Source organism: Homo sapiens, chromosome 5, assembly GCF_000001405.40.
Source record: "Homo sapiens chromosome 5, GRCh38.p14 Primary Assembly".
In the NCBI taxonomy this organism is placed as follows: domain Eukaryota; kingdom Metazoa; phylum Chordata; class Mammalia; order Primates; family Hominidae; genus Homo; species Homo sapiens.
In genome coordinates this window covers 140,376,903-140,398,071 of record NC_000005.10, presented here as the reverse complement: position 1 = coordinate 140,398,071, position 21,169 = coordinate 140,376,903, and the positions used below count along the sequence as shown (strand labels likewise).

At 43.3% G+C, this 21,169-nt stretch overlaps 2 long non-coding RNA genes and 1 pseudogene across 3 annotated transcripts in view, besides 1 other annotated feature; 2 read left to right on the top strand and 1 right to left on the bottom strand.

Moving 5' to 3' along the window:
- ANKHD1-DT (ANKHD1 divergent transcript) overlaps positions 1–21,169 on the top strand; it is a 30,506-nt gene that overhangs the window by 3,330 nt on the left and 6,007 nt on the right. The window lies entirely within an intron of this gene.
- RNU4-14P (RNA, U4 small nuclear 14, pseudogene) lies at positions 628–749 on the top strand (annotated as a pseudogene).
- Positions 11,283–18,037, bottom strand: LOC124901087 (uncharacterized). Its single transcript, XR_007058967.1, has 2 exons — positions 15,015–18,037; positions 11,283–11,499 (listed from the first exon to the last, which is right to left on the bottom strand). It is a non-coding gene; the product is annotated as an uncharacterized LOC124901087 (long non-coding RNA).
- Positions 15,838–15,957: a silencer, noted in NCBI's record as "silent region_16449". NCBI's record gives its function as "represses an Ori minimal core promoter by ATAC-STARR-seq in GM12878 lymphoblastoid cells {active_cell/tissue: GM12878}" and the evidence as "EXISTENCE:reporter gene assay evidence [ECO:0000049][PMID:35858748]".

Below are 21,169 nucleotides of genomic sequence, written 5' to 3'. Positions count from 1 at the left end.
CACACCACGGCACTTCAGCCTGGGCAACATGAGTGAAACTTTGTCTCGAAAAAAAAAAAAAAAGAAAGAAAGAAAATGTGATTCAATAGTTCCATATATACTACATTCCTATGGTTTTAAAATTTGAAAACTCATTGATAAATCATCACAATATCAAGTGATACATTTGACAAATAAATAAAATCACACTCAGGCCAGGTATGGTGGCTCATGCCTGTAATACCAGCACTTTGGGAGGCTGAGGTGGGTGGATCACTTGAGGTCAGGAGTTCAAGACCATCCTGGCCAACATGGTGAAATCCTGTCTCTACTAAAAATACAAAAATTGGGCTGGGTGTGGGGTCTCATGCCTGTAATCCCAGCACTTTGGGAGGCTGAGGCGGGTGGATCACAAGGTCAGGAGTTCGAGACCAGCCTGATCAACATGGCGAAACCCCATTTCTACTAAAAATACAAAAATTAGCTGGGCGTGGTGGCACGCACCTGTAATCCCAGCTACTCAGGAGGCTGAGTCAGGAGAATCGCTTGAATCTGGGAGGCAGAGGTTGCAGTGAGCTGAGAACACGCCATTGCACTCCAGCCTGGGTGACAGAGCGAGACTCTGTCTCAAGAAAAAAAATGGAGTGGAGATTTGCTCAGTGGCAGTATCATAGCCAAAGGCATCATTATTGCTAATTGAAAACTTTTCCCAATAACCTGCCATGGCCTTGAAATATAGTAAGCATTGGGAATTTTGAGTCTCTATGGAATAAAGAAGAAAAAAAAGCCAGTGGGACTATTTAGAATCTACTTATAATGTGTTTCAAAGCACTGTGTTTTGACCATCTTTCAGATCAAGAAGGATAAAAAACACATGGCCGGGCACGGTGGCTCACACCTGTAATCCCAGCACTTTGGGAGGCCCAGGCGGGCGGATCACGAGGTCAGGAGATTGAGGCCATCCTGGCTAACACGGTGAAACCTCATCTCTACTGAAAATACAAAAAAAATTAGCTGGGCATGGTGGTGGGCACCTGTAGTCCCAGCTACTCGGGAGGCTGAGGCAGGAGAATGGCGTGAACCTGGGAGGCAGAGCTTGCAGTGAGCCGAGATCTTGACACTGCACTCCAGCCTGGGCGACAGAGCAAGACTCCGTCTCAAAAAAAAAAAAAAAAAAACATAAAAACTGTATAGCCGAAGGATTTTTATTTTGTTATTTTGTTTTTTTGAGACAGGTTCTCACCCTGTCTCTGGGGCTGAAGTGCAGTGGTGCAATCACCTGCTCACTGCAGCCTCAACCTCGCAGGCTCAAGCGATTCTCCCACCTTAGCTTCCCAAAGCTGGGACCACAGGAGTGGACCACCATGCCCAGCTATTTTTTTTTAATTATTTGTGGAGACAGCGGTCTCCCTAGGTTGCTCAGGCTGCTGGCCTCTAACCCCTGGGCTCAAGCAGTCCTCCTGCCTCGGCCTCCCAAAGTGCTGAGATTATGGGTGTGAGCCACTGTGCCCAGCTAGCCCAAGGGTTTCTAAAACTTCTGAAATAATAAGAGTCTTCAAATCCCATAATATGAGATTGACAAACTAAATTATAGATGCAGGGACTTTAGCTACATGAAGTTCTTTCACATGCAACCTGCATTTTCTCCGGACATTTTATTCCTATATGCCAATCCATCTCAGTTCAGCCCATCTATATAAGAAGTAAACCAACATATTTGTTGCACTTGGAGGTCATTTAACCTTTATAATAATCCTATTCAGATTTTACCCATTTTATAGATGAGGAAGTTGAAACTTCAAAATTGTTAAATAACTTGCCCAAGGTTATAAGGCCAGCATATAGAAAAGCTGGGATTTGAATTTATTTCTGCTTGATCCCAAAACCCATGCTCTTCCCACTATATTACATCGATTCCATGGCAACCTCAAAAGCAGAGGAAATTCATCAATCAGGTAAACATGCTTCAACCATTATATCCTTCTTATAAATCTGCTAATCAGCACCCTAGGTGAAGTTATCCCTGACTACCATCAAATATATCTTCCTCCCTTGTAATAGTTGGAAACATTTAAAACTTGGCTTCTGGTTTCTCCAACTATATTGTTAGTTTCTTAGACCATGGAATTTCACATTAAAAAATCTAATAGTTTACACAAATTAGCCAGGTGTGGTGGTGGGCCCCTGTAATCCCAGCTACTCTGGAGGCTGAGGCAGGAGAATTGCTTGAGCCCAGGAGGCGGAGATTGCAGTGAGCCGAGATCGTGCCACTGCACTCCAGCCTGGGCAACAGAGTGAGACTCTGTCTCAAAAAAAAAAAAAAAAAAAATCTGATAGTTAATACATTCACATGGTTCAAATTTCAAAAAGAACAAAACAATTTGACACAGCAGGCATGTGGAAAAAAATAAAATGGGCCGGGCGCGGTGGCTCATGCCTGTAATCCCAGCATTTTGGGAGGCCGAGGTGGGCGGGTCATGAGGTCAGGAGATCGAGACCATCCTGGCTAACACGGTGAAACCCCGTCTCTACTAAAAAAAAAAAAAAAAAAAAAAAAAAAGAATAAAATGAATATAAAATGAGGAAAAGAGTATTTTTACTTTCCCCACTAAATACCTAGACCTCCTCTCATACACAAACCATATTATTAGGTTTTTAGATATCCTTCTCAGGCCAGAAGCAGTGACTCACACTTGTAATCCCAGCATATTGGGAGGCCAAAATAGGAGGATTGCTTGAGCCCGGAGTTTGAGACCAGCCTGGGCAAAATAACAAGACCCCCATCTCTACAAAACTAAAAATAAATACATAAATTTGGTTCAATAGGCCACCCACCATAGTTTTCAAAAAGCACAGTTATCAAGATAAAAATTGTTAAAGGAAGATTACAGATTTTTTTTGTTTTAGCTGAATTGAGTAAATTGGGTTAGAACAAGGAGATACTGGAGTGTAGGAAACAAGCAATCTGGCTGCAGCTTTTTGCCCAGGTATGAGATAATGAACACCGGATTAGGGAAGTGGCTTTCAGAATGGAGAAAAAGAAACTGTCAATAAGTGTAATCAGCATGAAGTCCAGGCACAGTTGCTCATGCCTGTAATCCCAGCACTTTGGAAGGCCAAGGCAGGAGGATCACTTGAGCCCAGGAGTTTGAGACCAGCCTGGGCAACAAAACAAGACTCCCTATCTCTACAAAAAAAAAAAAAAAAAAGGTAGCCAAGCGTGGAGGTGTGTACCTGTAATCCCAGCTACTTGGGAGGCTGAGGTGGGAGGATTGCTTGAGCACAGGAGGTCAAGGCTACAGTGAGCTATGATCGCACCACTACTCACCAGCCTGGGTGACAGAGTGAGACCTTGTCTCAACAACAACAAAAAAAGAATCAGTATAACCTTTGCACCTGATGAAATGTGGGAAACAAAAGAGTATAGGAACAAAAGTTACTCCAGATCTATACAAACTTTCTGAAAATAAATGTGGCATTATGCATCAAGATCCTTCTTTAAAATTTTATTTCCACCTATTAGAATGGCTAAAATCCAAATAAGTGGCAATACCAATTACTGGCAAGAAGGCAGAGCAGCAAGAATTCTCATTCTGGTAAGAATGCAAAACAGTACAGCCACTTTGGAAGAGAGCTTAAAAGTTTCTTCAAGGCTAAACTTGCCTTAGGCCAGGCGCAGTGGCTCATACCTGTAATCCCAGCACTTTTCGAGGCTGAGGTAGGTGGATCACTTGAGGTCAGGAGTTCAAAACCAGCCTGGCCAACATGGTGAAACCCCGTCTCTACTACTACTACTACTACTACTACTACTACTACTACTACTACTACTAATAATAATAATAATAATTATTATTATTATTATTATTATACAAAGCTTAGCCAGGCATGGTGGTGGGTGCTATAATCCCAGCTACTTGGGAGGCTGAGGCAGGAGAATCGCTTGAACCTGGGAGGCAAGAGACTGCAGTGAGCCGAGATCACACCACTGCACTGCAGCCTGGGTGACAGAGCGAGACTCCATCTCAAAAAAAAACAAAACAAACAAAAAAAACCCAAAACAACAACAAAGCTAAACATGATGGATTTACTTTATGTGTTTGGTTTCAGACAGCAATGAGAAGAACTTCACCTAGGTAGAACATTACTTGCTGAGTCAGCCAGAAACCTCCAAACCTTCAACTGGACAGAAACACAGTTAGATTTACTGTAACTCTGTAACTGAAAACTTTTTTTTTTTTTGACAGGGTCTTGCTCCTGTTACCTAGGTTGGAGTAGTGCAGTGGTGCAGTCTCACTACAGCCTCAACCTCCCAGGCTCAAGCCACCCTCCCACCTCAACCTTCCAAGTAGCTGGAACTACAGGTGCACACCACCATGCCCAGCTTGTTTTGTTTTGTTTTGTTGTGTTTTTTTGTATTTTGGTAGAGACAGGGTTTTTGCCATGTTACCCAGGCTGCTCTCAAACTCCTGGGCTCAAGCGATCCACCTGCCTCAGTCTCCCAAAGTGCTGGGATTATAGATGTGAGCCACCACACCTGGCCCAAATTTTTAAAAGACATCAAGTTGTAGCTTTGCTTTTTGCAAAAGTTAAACATCTCTCTGCAGAAAGGTCATATTGGTTGACAATGAAGATTAATCCACTCTTCCCCCAGGTGAGTCCTTGGTGAATATTTTTGTGTATTGCTTCCATTGGAAGGATTGTACTGAAAATATGAGTCCCAGCAGTAATTCTATGAGCTTTCTCACTTCAGTACTAATTAAAAGGAAAAGCCGTCCAGCACAGTGGCTTACACCCATAATCCCAACACTTTGGGAGGCTGAGACAGGCGGATCACAAGGTCAGGAGTTCAAGACCAGCCTGGCCAACATGGAGAAACCCCGTCTCTACTAAAAATACAAAAATTAGCCGGGCGTGATGGCAGGTGCCCATAGTCCCAGCTATTCAAGAGGCTGAGGCAGAAGAATCGCTTGAACCTGGGAGGCAGAGGTTGCAGTGAGCCGAGATTGCACCAGTGCACTCCAGCCTGAGTGGCAGAGTGAGACTCCATCTAAAAAAAAAGGAAAAACCAAGAGTCACATTGAGAAATAAGTACCAGTAAGTGTGTAGTTCAGCCCAGATGTTCTGGTCTACAGTTATACAAGCTCTTTGACAAGAAGAGGGTTCTAAGAACTGACAATCAATAAGTTACTGGGAGAAATCCAGAACTCTACCTTGTGCATTACAGTGAACCCTCTGCTTCTTCTATCCCACACTTGGTAAACCTGAAGCTAGTGACCCCAAACATCCTTTTTCACATGTCCTCTTACCACTGCAACTTAGGCAGCCACACCCACCTTTTGTAGAAGCTCTCCTTGGCTGGTACCATGTCCTTCTGCCACAGACTTTAGAACATCCCAGAATTGGTGAAAATTTTGAATCTTATGGTCTGAGCACTTTTTCTGATGAGAGAACAGCTAGATAGCAACCGCAGCAGCAAGAATCCTCTTATTTTACAGGTTATGGTGGCCTGGCATTTAGTGAATCAGCACTTTTGAGTCAGAAGAACCCTTGAGGGGTGTTTTAGTTTTTCACAATCCCCCCGCCCCGCCTTTTTTTTTTTTTGAGATGGAGTTTCGCTCTTCTTGCCCAGGCTGGAGTCCAATGGGATGATCTCAACTCACTGCAACCTCCACCTCCCAAGTTCAAGCGATTCTCCTGCCTCAGCCTCCCAAGTAGCTGGGATTACAGGCGTGTGTCACCATGCCCAGCTAATTTTGTATTTTTAGTAGAGATGGGGTTTCACCATGTTGGCCAGGCTGGTCTTGAACTCCTGACCTCAGGTGATCCGCCCGCCTCGGCCTCCCAAAGTGCTGGGATTACAGGTGTGAGCCACCATGCCCAGCCTTACAATTTTTTTTAAATAGAGGAGTAACAAGGAGTGAGCATTAGGATCAGTATCTCCCAATAAAATCTCTGAAGTGATTTTACATGACCCATCCATTACCCTCTGATATTTCCTGTGAGAACCTGAAGTACATAATTGCTTACCACAATGAGAAAGGAGCAGACCAAGGACTCCAACTCAAAGAGCAATTTGGGCTTATAAGTGAGGACTGAGTCACTCTGAAGGCTGATCTTGGAGACTCTTGTGGAGTGTTTGAACTCAACTCAGTTTGCCACACCCCTTTTTCATCAAGACAGTCCCATAAATCAGGAGACACAGCATGGCATTCACCTGCAGGGCAGGTAACAGTGCCACCTACCAAGTGTTCTTTCCCAAGGAAGTGGCTATGGCCCCGAAAGGACACTTGTAGAAAGTCTAGGCCAGACATGAGTCTGATATAAGCTCACAGAAGCTATTAAGAAATATAGTGGTCAGGACTCTACTCTGAAGCTTTTCACCTAGAAGCCCTTCTTAGACCCTGGCATTTACACCTCTGATGTCAAGGGAAAAAAAAAGAAAAGAAAAACAGCCAAAGTTGGACTTCTCCAGCAGAGATTTAGTCAATGCAAAAGGTTCGTCAGTTGAAAAGAATTGCATCACCATTCAGAGTTATGCAGGACATATGGGCAGGCCTGTTGTGGCCTCTGGAGTTTGGTTAAAGCCCTAAACTGTCCCAATGGCTCCACCCATAAGCTGGCAACATTTTAAATCAAGATTGAGCCATACTAGAGAGTCCAAAGAAAACAGCAATACTTTTCTGTATACCAGGGATTTCAAATGAATATTAGAATTCCTGGAGAGTGACTGAAGGGCTCAGAAATATTTAAAAACCCTTCAAAGCACTGGTTGACCACTATTCAGAGCCTGGTAATCCTCATGCCCAACAATTACTCTCACAAGTTCCCTGTTGCACTCTCTGTATACCATTAGCAGTAGTGTAATTGATACAATCTTTAGGGAAATAAGTTTGGAGGTGCCTTCATTTTATTTTTTTGAAACAGAGTCTCTGTCGCCCAGGCTGGAGTACAGTGGTGTGATCTCAACTCACTGCAACCTCCGTCTTCTGGGTTCAAGCAATTCTTCTGCCTCAGCCTCCCAAGTAGCTGGGATTACAGACATATGCCACCACACTCGGCTAATTTTTGTATTTTTAGTAGAGATGGGGTTTCACCATGTTTGCCAGTCTGGCCTGGAAATTCTGACCTCAAGTGATCCACCCACCTCAGCCTCCCAAAGTGCTGGGTTTACAGGCGTGAGCCATGTGCCCGGTCCTTCTTTTTTTTTTTTTTTTTTTTTTTTAAGTGCAACTACCCTTTGATTTAGCAAATCCATTTCCAACTCTGGAGGAAAAGTGGCACAGAAACCCTCACACATTAACTAAAAAAAAAAAAAAAAAATGTGTACAGGGACATTAATTAAAACCTTACTTGTCAGGGCTAGGCACGGTGGCTCACTCCTATAATCCCAGCACTTTGGGAGACTGAGGCAGACGGATCATTTGAGGTCAGGAGTTCAAGACCAGCCTGGCCACATGGTGAAACCCTATCTCTACTTAAAAAAAAAAAAAAAAAAGCCAGACAGGGTGGCTCACACCTGTAATCCCAGCACTTTGGGAGGCCAAGATGGGTGGATCACTTGAGGTCAGGAGTTTGAGACCAGCCTGACCAACATGGCGAAACTTCGTCTCTACTAAAAAATACAAAAATTAGCCAGGCATGGTGGCAGATGCCTGTAATCCCAGCTACTCGGGAGGCTGAGGCAGGAGAATCGCTTGAACCTTGGAGCAAAGGTTGCAGTGAGCTGAGATCACACCGCTGCACTCCAACCTCGGTGACAGAGCGAGACTGTCTCAAAAAAAAAGAAAAAACATTAGCCAGGGGGTTGGTGCACACCTGTAGTCCCAGCTTCTCAGGAGACTGAGGCACGAGAATCACTTGAAGCTGGGAAACGGAGGTTGCAGTGTGCAAGATCATGCCACTGCACTCCAGCTTGGACAAAAGAGTGAGACTCTGTCTCAAAACAGACAAACCTTACTTGTCTATCAATAAGTGGCTAAGTAAGCTGCGGTACAGTTATAACATGACCTACAATATACTTGTTAAAAAGAATGAAGAGGCCAGGCACAGTGGCTCACGCCTGTAACCCCAGCACTTTGAGAGGCTGAGGTGGGCAGATCACGAGGTCAGGAGATTGAGACCATCCTGACCAACATGGTGAAACCCTGTCTCTACTAAAACACAAAAAATTAGCTGGCCGTGGTGGCTCGCGCCTGTAGTCCCAACTACTTGGAAGGCTGAGGCAGGGGAATAGCCTGAACCCAGGAGGCGGAGGATGCAATGAGCCAAAATCACGCCACTGCACTCCAGCCTGACGACAGAGCAAGACTCTATCTCAAAAAAAAAAAAAAAAGAAGAAAATCAGAAGGCTGATTGTGCATGGTACACTGCCAAGTGAGGGAAAAAGTGAAATTATTTCAGTTTTTTACTAGAAGTATATCATTTTATTTGTGCATATATTGTTTGAATTTGTTTACAATGAGTATGTAACACCTTGGTAACAAAACTATTTTCCAAAACCACCCCAGTTATTACCTTAAAACCAAACTTTAGAGAGTTAGTAGATTTTTTTTGTTTTTGAAAATCTTTATTGTTATTATTAGTGTGTTTATCCAACAAATTAAGAAGAAAAATAAAATTTAAAAAAGTTAGAATGTACTTTTTTGGGCAAAATCTAGGGAGTTACATTTAACTCAGAGAAATGTGAACTTAGGGAAGAAATATTTCACTTATACTTTGACATACACACACATACACGGGTATATTACCACAATTTTGTTGTTGTTTTTGAGACAAAGTCTTGCTGCGATGCCCAGGCTGGAGTGTAGTGGCACAATCTCGGCTCACTGCAACCTCCGATTCCCAGGTTCAAGCGATTCTCCTGCCTCAGCCTCCAGAGTAGCTGGGATTACAGGCATGCACCACCACACCTGGCTAATTGTGTGTGTGTGTGTGTGTGTGTGTGTGTGTGTGTGTGTGTGTGTGTGTGTAGTAGAGACGGAGTTTCACCATATTGGCCAGGCTGGTCTTGAACTCGCGACCTCAAGTAATCCACCTGCCTTGGCTTCCCAAAGTGCTGGGATTACAGGCGTGAGCCACCACACCCGGTGAATTCTTACCCCCACCTGGCTAGACGGAGTCTCACTTTATCACCCAGGCTGGAGTGCAGTGGCACGGTCTCAGCTCACTGCAACCTCTGCCTCCCAGGTTCAAGTGATTCTTGTGCCTCAGCTTCTCAAGTAGCTGGGATTACAGGCATGCACTACCACACCCAGCTTTTTATTTTATTTTATTTTAAGATGGAGTCTCGCTCTGTCACCCAGCCTGGAGTGCAGTGGCTTGATCTTGGCTCACTGCAACCTCCATCTCCCAGGTTCAAGCAATTCTTCTGCCTCAACCTCCCAAGTAGCTGGGACTACAGGAGCCCGCCACCACACCCAGCTAATTTTGTATTTTTAGTAGAGACAGGGTTTCACTATGTTGGCCAGTCTGGTCTTGAGCTTCTGACCTCAGATGATCCACCCGCCTTTGCCTCCCAAAGTGCTGGGATTACAGGGAGGAGCCACCGCGCCTGGCCATATTGCCACAATTCTCAGAGTATGCTCTATAGATTCCTGCAGCCCTCAAGACCTTTTCAGGGGAATCCATGAAGTCAAAACTATTTTCATTATAATTCTAATATATTATTTTTCACTATATTGACTTGCACTGATGGTACAAAAGCAATGGGGGGGGGGGCTAAAAATTTGCTGGTACTGCTGGGTGTGGTGGTGCACGCCTGTAGTCCCTGCTACTCAAGAGGCCAAGGCAGGAGGATTGCTTGAGCCCAGGAGTTTAAGGCTACAGTGAGCTATGATCTCACCACTGCAATCCAGCCTGGGCAACAGAGTGAGCTCCTGTTTCTAAAAAACAAACAAAGATAGCTGGTACCTCAGCACAGTATTAGGTAATGGTATCAAACTGTACTAGCAGTAAATGTATTCTTCCCCATTGGGCACTCAAAGCAGGAAAAGGCCGATTTTATTAAGAATCCTTGATGAAGCAGTAAAAATTAATTTTATTAAAACTTGACCCTTGAGTACAAGTGTTTTTAATATTCTATGTGAGGAAATGAGAAGGATACACAGAGCACTTCTGCTATATATCAAAGTACATTTGTTATCTCAAGGAGCATAGCTATTTTGGTTGCAAGCTGCATTGGCCTTTTTTGTTTTCATAGAACACCATTTTTACTTGAAAATAGCACTGACAGGCAAATGTTGGTAATTCAGATGTGGATATTTGGCAGACATTCTCTGGAGCCTGTCACTTGAAGGAAAACACCTGACAATATTTATTTCCAATGATAAAATTCAAAACCTTTGAGCAAAAATGAGAATTTTGGAAAATTGTATATATTCCTGGTTGACAGTTTTCTAAAAGCTTTAAAAACTTTTTTGATGAGATAAATCATGGTATTAATAAATGTGTTTTTTATATTATATAATAAAAATGTGTCAATATTTGAAAGATCTGCACAGTTCAGTGAACCAATGTTTTCCAAATGACCAATCATGATGTTACAAAATCATACATGTGTAAAAGATCCACTGAAAGTATATTAGGCCAGGCGCGGTGGCTCATGCCTGTAATCCCAACATTTTGGGAGGCCAAGGCAGGTGGATCACTTGAGGTCAGGAGTTCGAGACCAGACTGGCCAACATAGTGAAACCCCGTCTCTATTAACAATACAAAAATTAGCTGGGTATGGTGGTGAGCACCTGTAGTCCCAGCTACTCGGGAGGCTGAGGTATGAGAATCGCTTGAACCCAGGAGGCAGAGGTTACAGTGAGCTGAGATGGCACCACTGCACTCCAGCCTGGGCAACAGAGCGAGACTCCATCTAAAAAAAAAAAAAAGAAAGTACATAATAGGCCTGTAATCCCAGCACTTTGGGAGGCTGAGGCAGGAGGATCGCTTGAGCCCACGAGTTCCAGACCAGCCTGGGCAACATAGGGACACCCTGTCTCTACAAATAATTTTTTTTGATTAGGGCTGGGCACCGTGGCTCATGCCTATAATCCCAGCACTTTGGGAGGCCAAAGCTGGAGGATCACTTGAGCTCAGAAGTTCAAGATCAGCCTAGGCAACATGGCAAAACCCTGTCTCTACTAAAAATATAAAAAATTAGCTGGGTGTGGTGGCACATGCCTGTAGTCTGAGGTGGGAGGATCGCCTGAGCCCAGGAAGTCAAGGCTGAAATGAGCAGTGATTGCAGACACTGCACTCCACCCTGGGTAGCTGAGCAAGACCCTGTCTCAAAACAACAACACAGAATGAAAGTATGTGATAGACCAATGGATTTTAATATAACAGAGTATGGACATTTTATAGTTATGGTCTCAACCTTTAAGAAACTAACAGTTGTTGGATTTTGGTGTATTGAAGGGAATATCCAGTTTTCTGAAAAATCTGTTGAAGTATTTCTTCCTTTTCCAACTACATAGCTGTGTTGAGCCAGATTTTCTTCATATTCTTCAACCAAAACACTCATGGATTTGACTGAATACAGAAGCAGATATAAGAATCAAGCTTTTATAAAGCCAGACATTGAAGATGCCACTCTTCTCATTAAATTTTTTTGTTTTGAAAAAAATTTTTTTGGTCAGCTGTGGTGGCTCATGCTTGTAATCCCAGCACTTTGGGAAGCCGAGGCAGGCAGATTCACCTGAGGTCAGGAGTTCGAGACCAGCCTGGTCAACATGGTGAAACCCCGTCTCTACTAAAAATACAAAAATTAGCCAGGCATGGTGGCGTGCACCTGTAATCCCAACTACCTGGGAAGCTGAGGCAGGAGAATTGCTTGAACCCCAGCAGCTGAGGTTGCAGTGAGCCAAGATTGCATCATTGCCCTCCAGCCTGGGCAACAAGAGTGGAAACCCGTCTCAAAAAAAAAGAAAAAGAAAGAAAGAAAATGGCAGAGGAAGCCGGGCACAGTGGCTCACACCTGTAATCCCAGCACTTTGGGAGGCTGAGGTGGGCAGATTACTTGAGCTCAGGAGTTTGAGACCAGCCTGGCCAACATGGTGAAACTCCATCTCTACAAAAGATACAAAACTTAAATGAGCATGGTGGCAGGCGCCTATAGTCCCAGCTACTTGGGAGGTTAAGGTGGGAGGATCGCTTGAACCCAAGAAGCAGAGGTTGCAGTGAGCTGACATCCCACCAATGCACTCCAGCCTGGCTGACACAGCAAGACTGTCTCAAAAATAGATAGGGAAAATAGCAGAGGATCTAGTGAAGGAACATGGTCTAGTTTGCATCACTGCACATTATAATCCCCTTTGTAAGTGGATATATTAATGGAAGGTGAACAAACATGTCTCTGAAAACAACCTGGAGAAACCCCCCAAGGCCATGATTCTTCCCTTGGGTTCACTTAGCTAGTAGGTTCCTGGAATTGGTACTGAAAAATTCCCCAGTTCTTGTCCAGAAGTGGTAATTCCTTTGGTCTTGGAGGCCCTAGAGGTTTTCAACCTCCCCATTTTGACCTTGCTGTTAGGTTCTGGCCCTTACCATTCTTTTTATTTTTTAACAGCTTTATTTTTTTTATCTATTTTTTTTTAGAGACAGAGTCTTGCTCTGTTGCCCAGGATGGAGTGCAGTGGTGCAACCATAACTCACTGCAACCTGAAACTCCTGGACTCAAGCAATCCTCCTACCTTGGCCTCCCAAAGTGCTGGGATCACAGACATGAGCTACTGCACCCCACCTTAATAGCTTTCTTAAAATATAACTCACATATCACACAATTCACTCAAAGTGTTCAAGTCAATAACTTTTATTATATGCAGAGCTGTGCAATCATCACATCTTTTTTTTTTTTTTTTAACTTTTAGAGATGAGATCTTGCTATGTTGCTCAGGCTGGAGTGCAGTGGCTGTTCACATACAAGATCATAGCACACTGTGGCCTCTAACTCCTGGCCTCAGCCTCCTGAGTAGCAGGAACTACAGGTGTGTGCCACCATGCCGTGCTTATCACATCTATTTTAGAACATTTTCTTCACTCCTAAAAAGAATTCCTGCACCCCATAGCCATTATCCCTAGGCCCCCAGCCCTAGGCAACCACTAGTTCACTTTATGACTTTATAGATTTGCCTATTATGGATATTTCATATAAATGGAATAATATATGATCCTTGTAACTGGCTTCATTCACTTAGAATGATGTTTTTCAAGGTTTATTCTTCTTGTAGCATGTGTGGGTGCTGCATTCCATTTTATGGCCAAATAATATTTCACTGTATGGATATAACACATTTTACTTATCCATTCATCAGTTTGGGTTGGTGACTCTTTTGGGTTATTTCTACTTTTTGTCTGTCATAAATAATGCGGCTATGAACATTTGTGTATGTCTTTATGTGGACATAAGTTTTAAATTATCTTGGGTCCCTTATCAGTTTTATATTTGCAAATATTTTATCCCATTCTGTGGGTTGTCTTTTCACTTTCTAGGCAGTGTCATTTGGTGCACAGAAGTTTTTTATTTTGATGATGTCCAATTTGTTTTTTTTTTTCTTTTGTTCCTTGTGCTTTTGGTATCATATCTAAGAAACCATTGCCAAATCCAAGGTCATAAAGATTTATACCTATGTTTTCTTCTAAGAAATATTTTAGCTCTTACATTTAGGTTATTGATCCATTTTGAGTTAATTTTTACATACGATGTGAAGTAGGTGTTCAGCTTCATTCTTTTGCATGTGGATATCTAGTTTTCTCAGCACCATGTATCAAAAAGATGATCCTTTCAGTCAGGCACGTTGGCTCATGCCTGTAATCCCACACTTTGGGAGGCTGAGGTGGGTGGATCACCTGAGGTGAGGAGTTCAAGACTAGCCTGGCCAATATGGTGAAACCCTGACTCTACTAAAAATATAAAAATTAGCCCGGTGTGGTGGTGCACGCCTGTAGTCCCAGCTACTTGGGAGGCTGAGGTGGGAGGATTGCTTGAACCTGGGAGGCAGAGGTTGCAGTGAGCCGAGATCATGCTACTGCACTCCAGCCTGGGCAACAGAATGAGACTCCCATCTCAAAAAAAAAAAAAAAAAAAGAAAGAAAAAGAAAAAGAAAAAAGACTATTTTTTCACCATTGAATTGTCTTGGCAACCTTATCAAAAATTAATTGACCATAAGTGTGAGGGTTTGTTTCTGGACTATCAATTCTACTTATCTGTATGTCTATCCTTATGACAGTACCACACACTGTCTTGATTATTATAGCTTTGTAGTAAGTTCTGAAATCAGAAAATGCGAGTCCTCCAACTTGGTTCTTCATTTTCAAGATTGTTTTGGCTATTCTAGGTTGGCCACTACTATTCTTACCCCAAGTGGCAAGGCTCCCTTGCCCACACTACTTCTTCCAAGGCATTAATTATGGTGACCTATAAACCCTAATCCTCACCCTCTCCAACCTCATCCTGCAATATTCTCTCTCTCACTCCTCCACTCCAGCAAGATAGTCCTTCTTTCAGTTTCTCAAGCATTTCAAAGTTTTTCCTGCCTGATGGCCTTTGAACTCATGTTTCCTTTGCCAAGAATGTTTCCCTCCACCCTCCACTTCCTCCTTCCTTTTATCAAGGCTGACTTTTTTTTTTTTTTTTTCTTGAGACAGAGTCTCACTCTGTTGCCCAGGCTGGAGGACAGTACAACAATCTAATCATGGCTCACTGCAGCCTCAAATTCCTGCGCTTGAGCAATCCTTCCATCTCACCCTCCCTCATAGCTGGGACTACAGGCATGTACCACGGCACCCAGCTTATATGTGTTTTTCTACTAGAATGTCTCCATTCTAGTAGGGGAGACAGAAAAATACAGGAGAGGAGAGATCCTGTCTTAGTTAACACTGAATTCCTACTGCCTGGCATATAATATATTTAATATGCATTTGTTGAATGGATGAATGAATGAAAGACCAATCCCTGGACAGCCCTTTAGTAGGATTCAGCACCAGGAAAAGAGGAAAGAGGCAATGAACTTGGCCCTCAAACCAGGGTTGCTTTCCTTGTACTCACCTTCTCTCATTTTGTGCCAGTCAGCAATTCCTCCCTCCTTTCATTCAAATAATTATCCCAAACTCTCCTCCTAATGAATGTCAATGTACATTTGAGAAGTAGATACAGACACATTCCTGCCTTCCCCAATCTCTGCTCTGGATTGCCTTCAGGGAAAAAAAAAAGCCAAAGATGTCTCTGACAATAGTTTATATGGACAAGTACACCCTCAGATCCATTTGCAGAGACAAAAATGTAGAGTATTGGGAAGCATGAGACACCAGACAAGGGTACAGAAGAATACAGAACTAAGAAGGTAAGAATTCAGAACCTCAGGGAGAATCAGAATCTCAGGCAGAGAGCCTGGGAATTCACATCACAACCTTTGATTCTAATGCCTGCAAAAGTTTGAGAACCATTGTCCCACAGCTACAGACTGGAGAGGAAAGGCCTAGGTTACTGATATGAAGGGATTTTCCCTGGGGCTTGGAAGGGAAGAGCTTCCAAGCCCTTGGTAATTCTGTATACAGCCCCGAGTCTTTCATCTAAAGATCTTAAAGAATGTTACAGGCATCAATTAACCTTTCCAGCACCCTAGACTGAAAATCCAGGCTCTTGGCCCTATTTTACTGACAAAAACTCAAACCTATGGTTTAGAGCCAAGAAAGGAATATCTTGGCTCACGTGACCTGAACTGAACAAGCTAAGGGGACTACAGGTACGCATCACCATGCCTAGCTTATTTTTTTATTATTTTTGTAGAGATGGAGTCTCACCCTCTTATGCAGGCTGGTCTCAAACTCTTGGGTTCAAGCAATCCTCCCACCTTAGCCTCCCAAAGTGCTGAGACTACAGGCATGAGTCACTGCTCCTGGCTGACAGTGGTTCTTAATCTGGGGACTTAAATTTATGTGTATATGTGTCACTCCTTGACTGTAGGCAGATGATACTTTCACTTACTCCTTGTCACTCAAGTCTCAGCTTAAAGGCAATCCCCTCAGAGAGGTCTTCCCTGAACACCCATCTTAAGTAATGTTTTCTATCATATCCTATTTTAATTTCTTCAGAGTACTTGTCATTATCTGAGATTATCTTACCTTTTCTTTGCCCCTCCTTCACTACAAGGTAAACTCCATGAAATCAGAAACCTATCTGACAGTACATTGTTGATGTTCAATAAGTGTTTGTTGAATGCTTAAATAAGCAAGTCTAAATGAAGATGTTTTCAACAATATGTAGATGCTGTTGAAATGAGTAAAATATACATTTATTTTTAAAGTCTAAATTTAGGGTGGGCACAATGGCTCATGCCTGTAATCCCATCAGTTTGAAAGGCCAACGTGGGAGGATTGCTTGAGTTCAGGAGTTTGAGACTAGCCTGGGCAATATAGCAAGACACCATCTCTACAGATAATTTTAAAAATTAACCAGGTGTGGTGGTGTGCACCTGTAGTCCCAGCTGCACTGTAGCCCCTCGGTCCCTGTAGTCCTGTAGCCCCTCAGCCTAGGCAGGCAGAGGCAAGAGGATTGCTAGAGCCTGTGAGATCAAGACTGCAGTGAGCTATGCTTGCACCACTGCACTCCAGTCTGGGCAACAGAGCAAGACCCTGTCTCAAAAATAAATTAAATAAATAAAAAGAAAAACCCTGATATGATAGTCTAAGTAGCTATCGATTGAGAGAAATACGTGCCCAGAGTATCACTTGGCTGGGTGCAGTAGCTCATGCCGTAATCCCAGCACTTTAGGAGGCCAAGGCGGGGGATTGCTTGAGCCCAGGAGCTTGAGACCAGTCTGGGCAACATAGCGAGAACCTATCTCTAAAAAAAAAATTATTGGCTGGGCACGGTGGCTCACGCCTGTAATCCCAGCACTTTGGGAGGCTGAGGCAGGTGGATCACCTGAGGTCAGGAGTTGGAGACCAGCCTGGCTAACATGGAGAAACCCCGTCTCTACTAAAACTACAAACAAATTAGATGGGCATGGTGACAGGTGCCTACAGTCCCAGCTACTCGGGAGGCTGAGGCAGGTTAGTCACTTGAACCCCCAGAGGTGGAGGCTGCAGTAAGCCGAGATCATGCCACTGCACTCTAGCCTGGGCAACAAGAGTGAAACTCCAGTACTTTTTTTTTAAGTATAGTTTAAATTTAGACTTTATTTTGAGACAGGATCTCTCTGTGTCACTCAGGCTGGAGTGCAGTGGTGCAATCACAGCTCACTATAGCTTCAAACTCCTGTGCTCAAGTGATCCTCCCACCTTAGAGCACCCCTTGCCCCATCCCCACCCCCACCCTGAGTAGCTGGGACGACAGGATGTGCCACCATGTCCAGCTAATTTTTTATGTTTTTTTTTTTTGTAGAGACAGGGTCTCACTATGTTGCCCAGGCTGGCCTTGAACTCCTGAGGCCGCAAGCGATCCTCCCCACTCAGCTACCCAAAATCCTGGGATTATAAGGCATGAGGCACTGCGTCCAGCCAGGGTTTTTCTTTATAATATTGAAAAAAGGGTTGGTACAATTTCCATTTCTGACATTGTATGGATTATAATTTCTGAACAATCTTCCCCAAAAAACAACTAAAATGATAGGTTAAATATAATTTTTAACTTTAAAATTCATAATGAGATAACACAAAAGTAAAGAGTTAGAATGACCCCAAGACAAATTAACCAAAATCAATTCTCCCTGAAACATTTTCTTAACTCCCAGTTTTGATTCCATATCACTGGCCACTCCTCAGTCTTCTCCTTTCCTGGTTGCTCCTCTATCTCTTAACCTTTTAACAGTGAAGAGTTCTAAGACTTGGTCCTTGGATCTGTTCTCTGATTGTACTTCCTTGGCAATCGTATATAGTCTGTGTTTTCAATATAATTTGTACTCTAATAAAATTATAAATTTTATCTCTGACTCAGATTTCCTTCTGTACTTCAGATTTGCATGTCCAGCTGCCCATTTGACATCTTTACTTGATTGTCTAAAATGCATCATACGGCCAGGCATAGTAGCTCACGCCTGTAATCCCAACACTTTGGGAGGCTGAGGCGAGTGGATTGCTTTGAGGTCAGGAGTTCGAGACCAGCCTGGCCAACATGGTGAAACCTGTCTCTGCTAAATAAATAAATAAAAATAAATAAATGGGCCGGGCACGGTGGCTCACGCCTGTAATCCCAGCACTTCGGGAGGCCGAGGCGGGTGGATCATGAGGTCAGGAGATCGAGACCATCCTGGCTAACACAGTGAAACCCCATCTCTACTAAAAATACAAAAAAATTAGCTGGGCATGGTGGCGGACGCCTGTAGTCCCAGCTACTCAGGAGGCTGAGGCAGGAGAATGGCATGAACCCGGGAGGCGGAGCTTGCAGTGAGCTGAGATCATGCCACTGCACTCCAGCCTGGGACACAGAGCCAGACTCCATCTCAAAAATATAAATAAATAAATAAATAGCATCATAATGCCCAAATATGAACTCAAGTCAATGGCAATTCCATTCTTCCTGTTGCTGAGACCCAAAACACGGGAGTCATCTTTGACCTCCCTTTTTCTTATATCCCAAGCAAGTAAAGGGAGGAAAGTGGAAAAGAAAAAGTACAAAAATAGCTCGATCCATCTAAAATAAGGTAAGAAAAGGAGAAAAGAGGAACAGAAAAATAGGAAATAAAAAGCAAATAAAACAAAATCAAATATATTAGAAATTACTCTAAATGTAAATGTACTAAATTTTCTAGCTAAAAGATGGATTGTCAAATTGGATTTAAAAACAAAAAACCTGGCCAGGCATAGTGGCTGGCGCCTGTAATCCCAGCACTTCTATAGGCCAAGGCAGGAGGATTGCTTGAGCCCAGGAGTTTGTGACCAGCCTGGGCAACATAGTGAGACCCCATCTCTACAAAAAATTTTAAAAAGTAGTCAAGCATGGTGGCACACACCTGTGCTCCCAGCTACTCAGGAGGCTGAGGTGGGAGGATCACTTGAGCTGAGAAGTTTGAGGCTGCAGTGAACCATATTTGTGCTACTGCACTTCAGGCTGCATGACAGGTGAGACCCTATCTCAAAAAAAAAAAAAAAAAAAACAAATTAGCTGGGCATGGTGGTGCATGCCTGTAATACCAGCTATTTGGGAGGCTGAAGCAGGAGAATCTCTTGAACTCAGGAGGCAGAGGTTATAGTGAGCCAAGATTGCACCATTGCACTCCAGCCTGGACAACAAGAGCGAAACTTTGTCTCAAAATAATTAATTAATTAATTAATTAATTAAAAAAAACAAAAACAAAATCCTGGGCCAGTGCAGTGGTTCACACCTATAATCCCAGCACTTTGGGAGGTCAAGGCAGGAGGACTACTTGAGGCCAGGAGTTTGAGACCAGAATGGGCAACATAGTGAGACCCTGTCTCTACAAAAATTAAGAAAAAATAAATAAATAAGCAGAGTGGCCAGGCACGATGGCTCACGCCTGTAATCTCAGCACTGTGGGAGGCCAAGGCGGCTGGATTGCCTGAGCTCAGGAGTTTGAAACTACCCTGGGCAACATGGTGAAACCCCGTCTCTACTAAAATACAAAAAAATTAGATGGGCATGGTGGTATGCACCTGTAATCCCAGCTACTTAGGAGGCTGAGGCAGGAGAATTGCTTGAGCCCGGGAGGTGGAGGTTGCAGTGAGCCAAGAACGTACCACTGTACTCTAGCTTGGGCAACAGAGTGAGACTCCATCTCAAATAAATAAATAAAAAATAAATAAATAAATAAGCAGGGCACGGAGGTGTGTGCTTGTAGTCCAAGCTACTCAGGAGGCTGAGGCAGGGGGATCTCTTCAGCCCAGGAGGTTGAGGCTGCAGTGAGCCAAGATCATGCCACTACGCTCCAGCCTGGGTGACAGAGTGAGACCTTGCCTCTAAAAAATTTTTTATGTAAAATAAAATAAAAGTAAATACAAAAAAAACTAAATCTGACCACATGATGATTACGAAAAATACAGGTAAAATATAAGAACACAGAAACACTAAAATTCAAAGAATGGAAATATATAATATAGGTAAATTCTAATCACAAGAAAGCTAATTTAACTATATTTCTAGCAGACAAAATAACTATTAAGCAGAAAGAATTACTAATCACTACAAAATAAAATCATTACAAAATAATAAAAGGATCAATTAACCAGTAAGATATAACAATTCTAAACTAGAAAGCACTCAAAACACAGCATTTAAAAATACATAAAAGCAAAAATTGACAAATTCTTCAAGGAGATAGTGACGAATTTATTATCATAATAGGTTTATTAAAATACCTTCCCTAGTACTTGCTAGTTCAAACAGGCCGAAGAAAGTCATGCCATATATAGAACATCTGGAACAGCACAGTTAGTAGGCTGGCCTAATAGAAATAGAAAATTGGAGGGCCGGGCGCAGTGGCTCACGCCTGCAATCCCAGCACTTTGGGAGGCCAAGGCAGTTGGATCACCTGAGGTCAGGAGTTCAAGACCAGCTTGGCCAACATGGTGAAATCCCGTCTCTAGTAAAAATACAAAAATTAGCCGGGCGTCGTGGCAGGCACCTGTAATCCCAGCTACTCCGGAGGCTGAGGCAGAAGAATCGCTTGAACCCAGGAGGCGGAGGTTGCAATGAGCCGAGATCCCGCCACTGCACTCCAGCCTGGGCGACAGAGCGAGACTCCGTCTCAAAAAAAAAAAAAAAAAAAAAAAAGAGAAAATTGGAGAATAAGCATTATTTTCAAGTACACATGGAACATTTACAAAAATTAACAACATTCCAGGCCATAAAGTTAGCCTCATAAGTATCTAACTGATAGGTGTGTGTGTGTGTGTGTGTGTGTGTGTGTGTGTGTGTGTGTGTGTGATGGAGTCTTGCTCTGTCCCCCAGCCTGGAGTGCAGTGGCATGATCTCGGCTCACTGCAGGCTCCATCTCCTGGGTTCACGCTATTCTCCTGCCTCAGCCTTCCAAGTAGCTGGGACTACAGTCGCCCATCACCACGCCCGGCTAATTTTTTGTATTTTTAGTAGAGACGAGGTTTCACCGTGTTAGCCAGGATGGTTTCGAACTCCTGACCTCGTGATCCACCTGCCTCAGCCTCCCAAAGTGCTGGGATTACAGGCATGAGCCACTGCTCCTGGCCTCCTCATAAGTATCTAAATGAAATTAAGTTAGAAATCAGTTA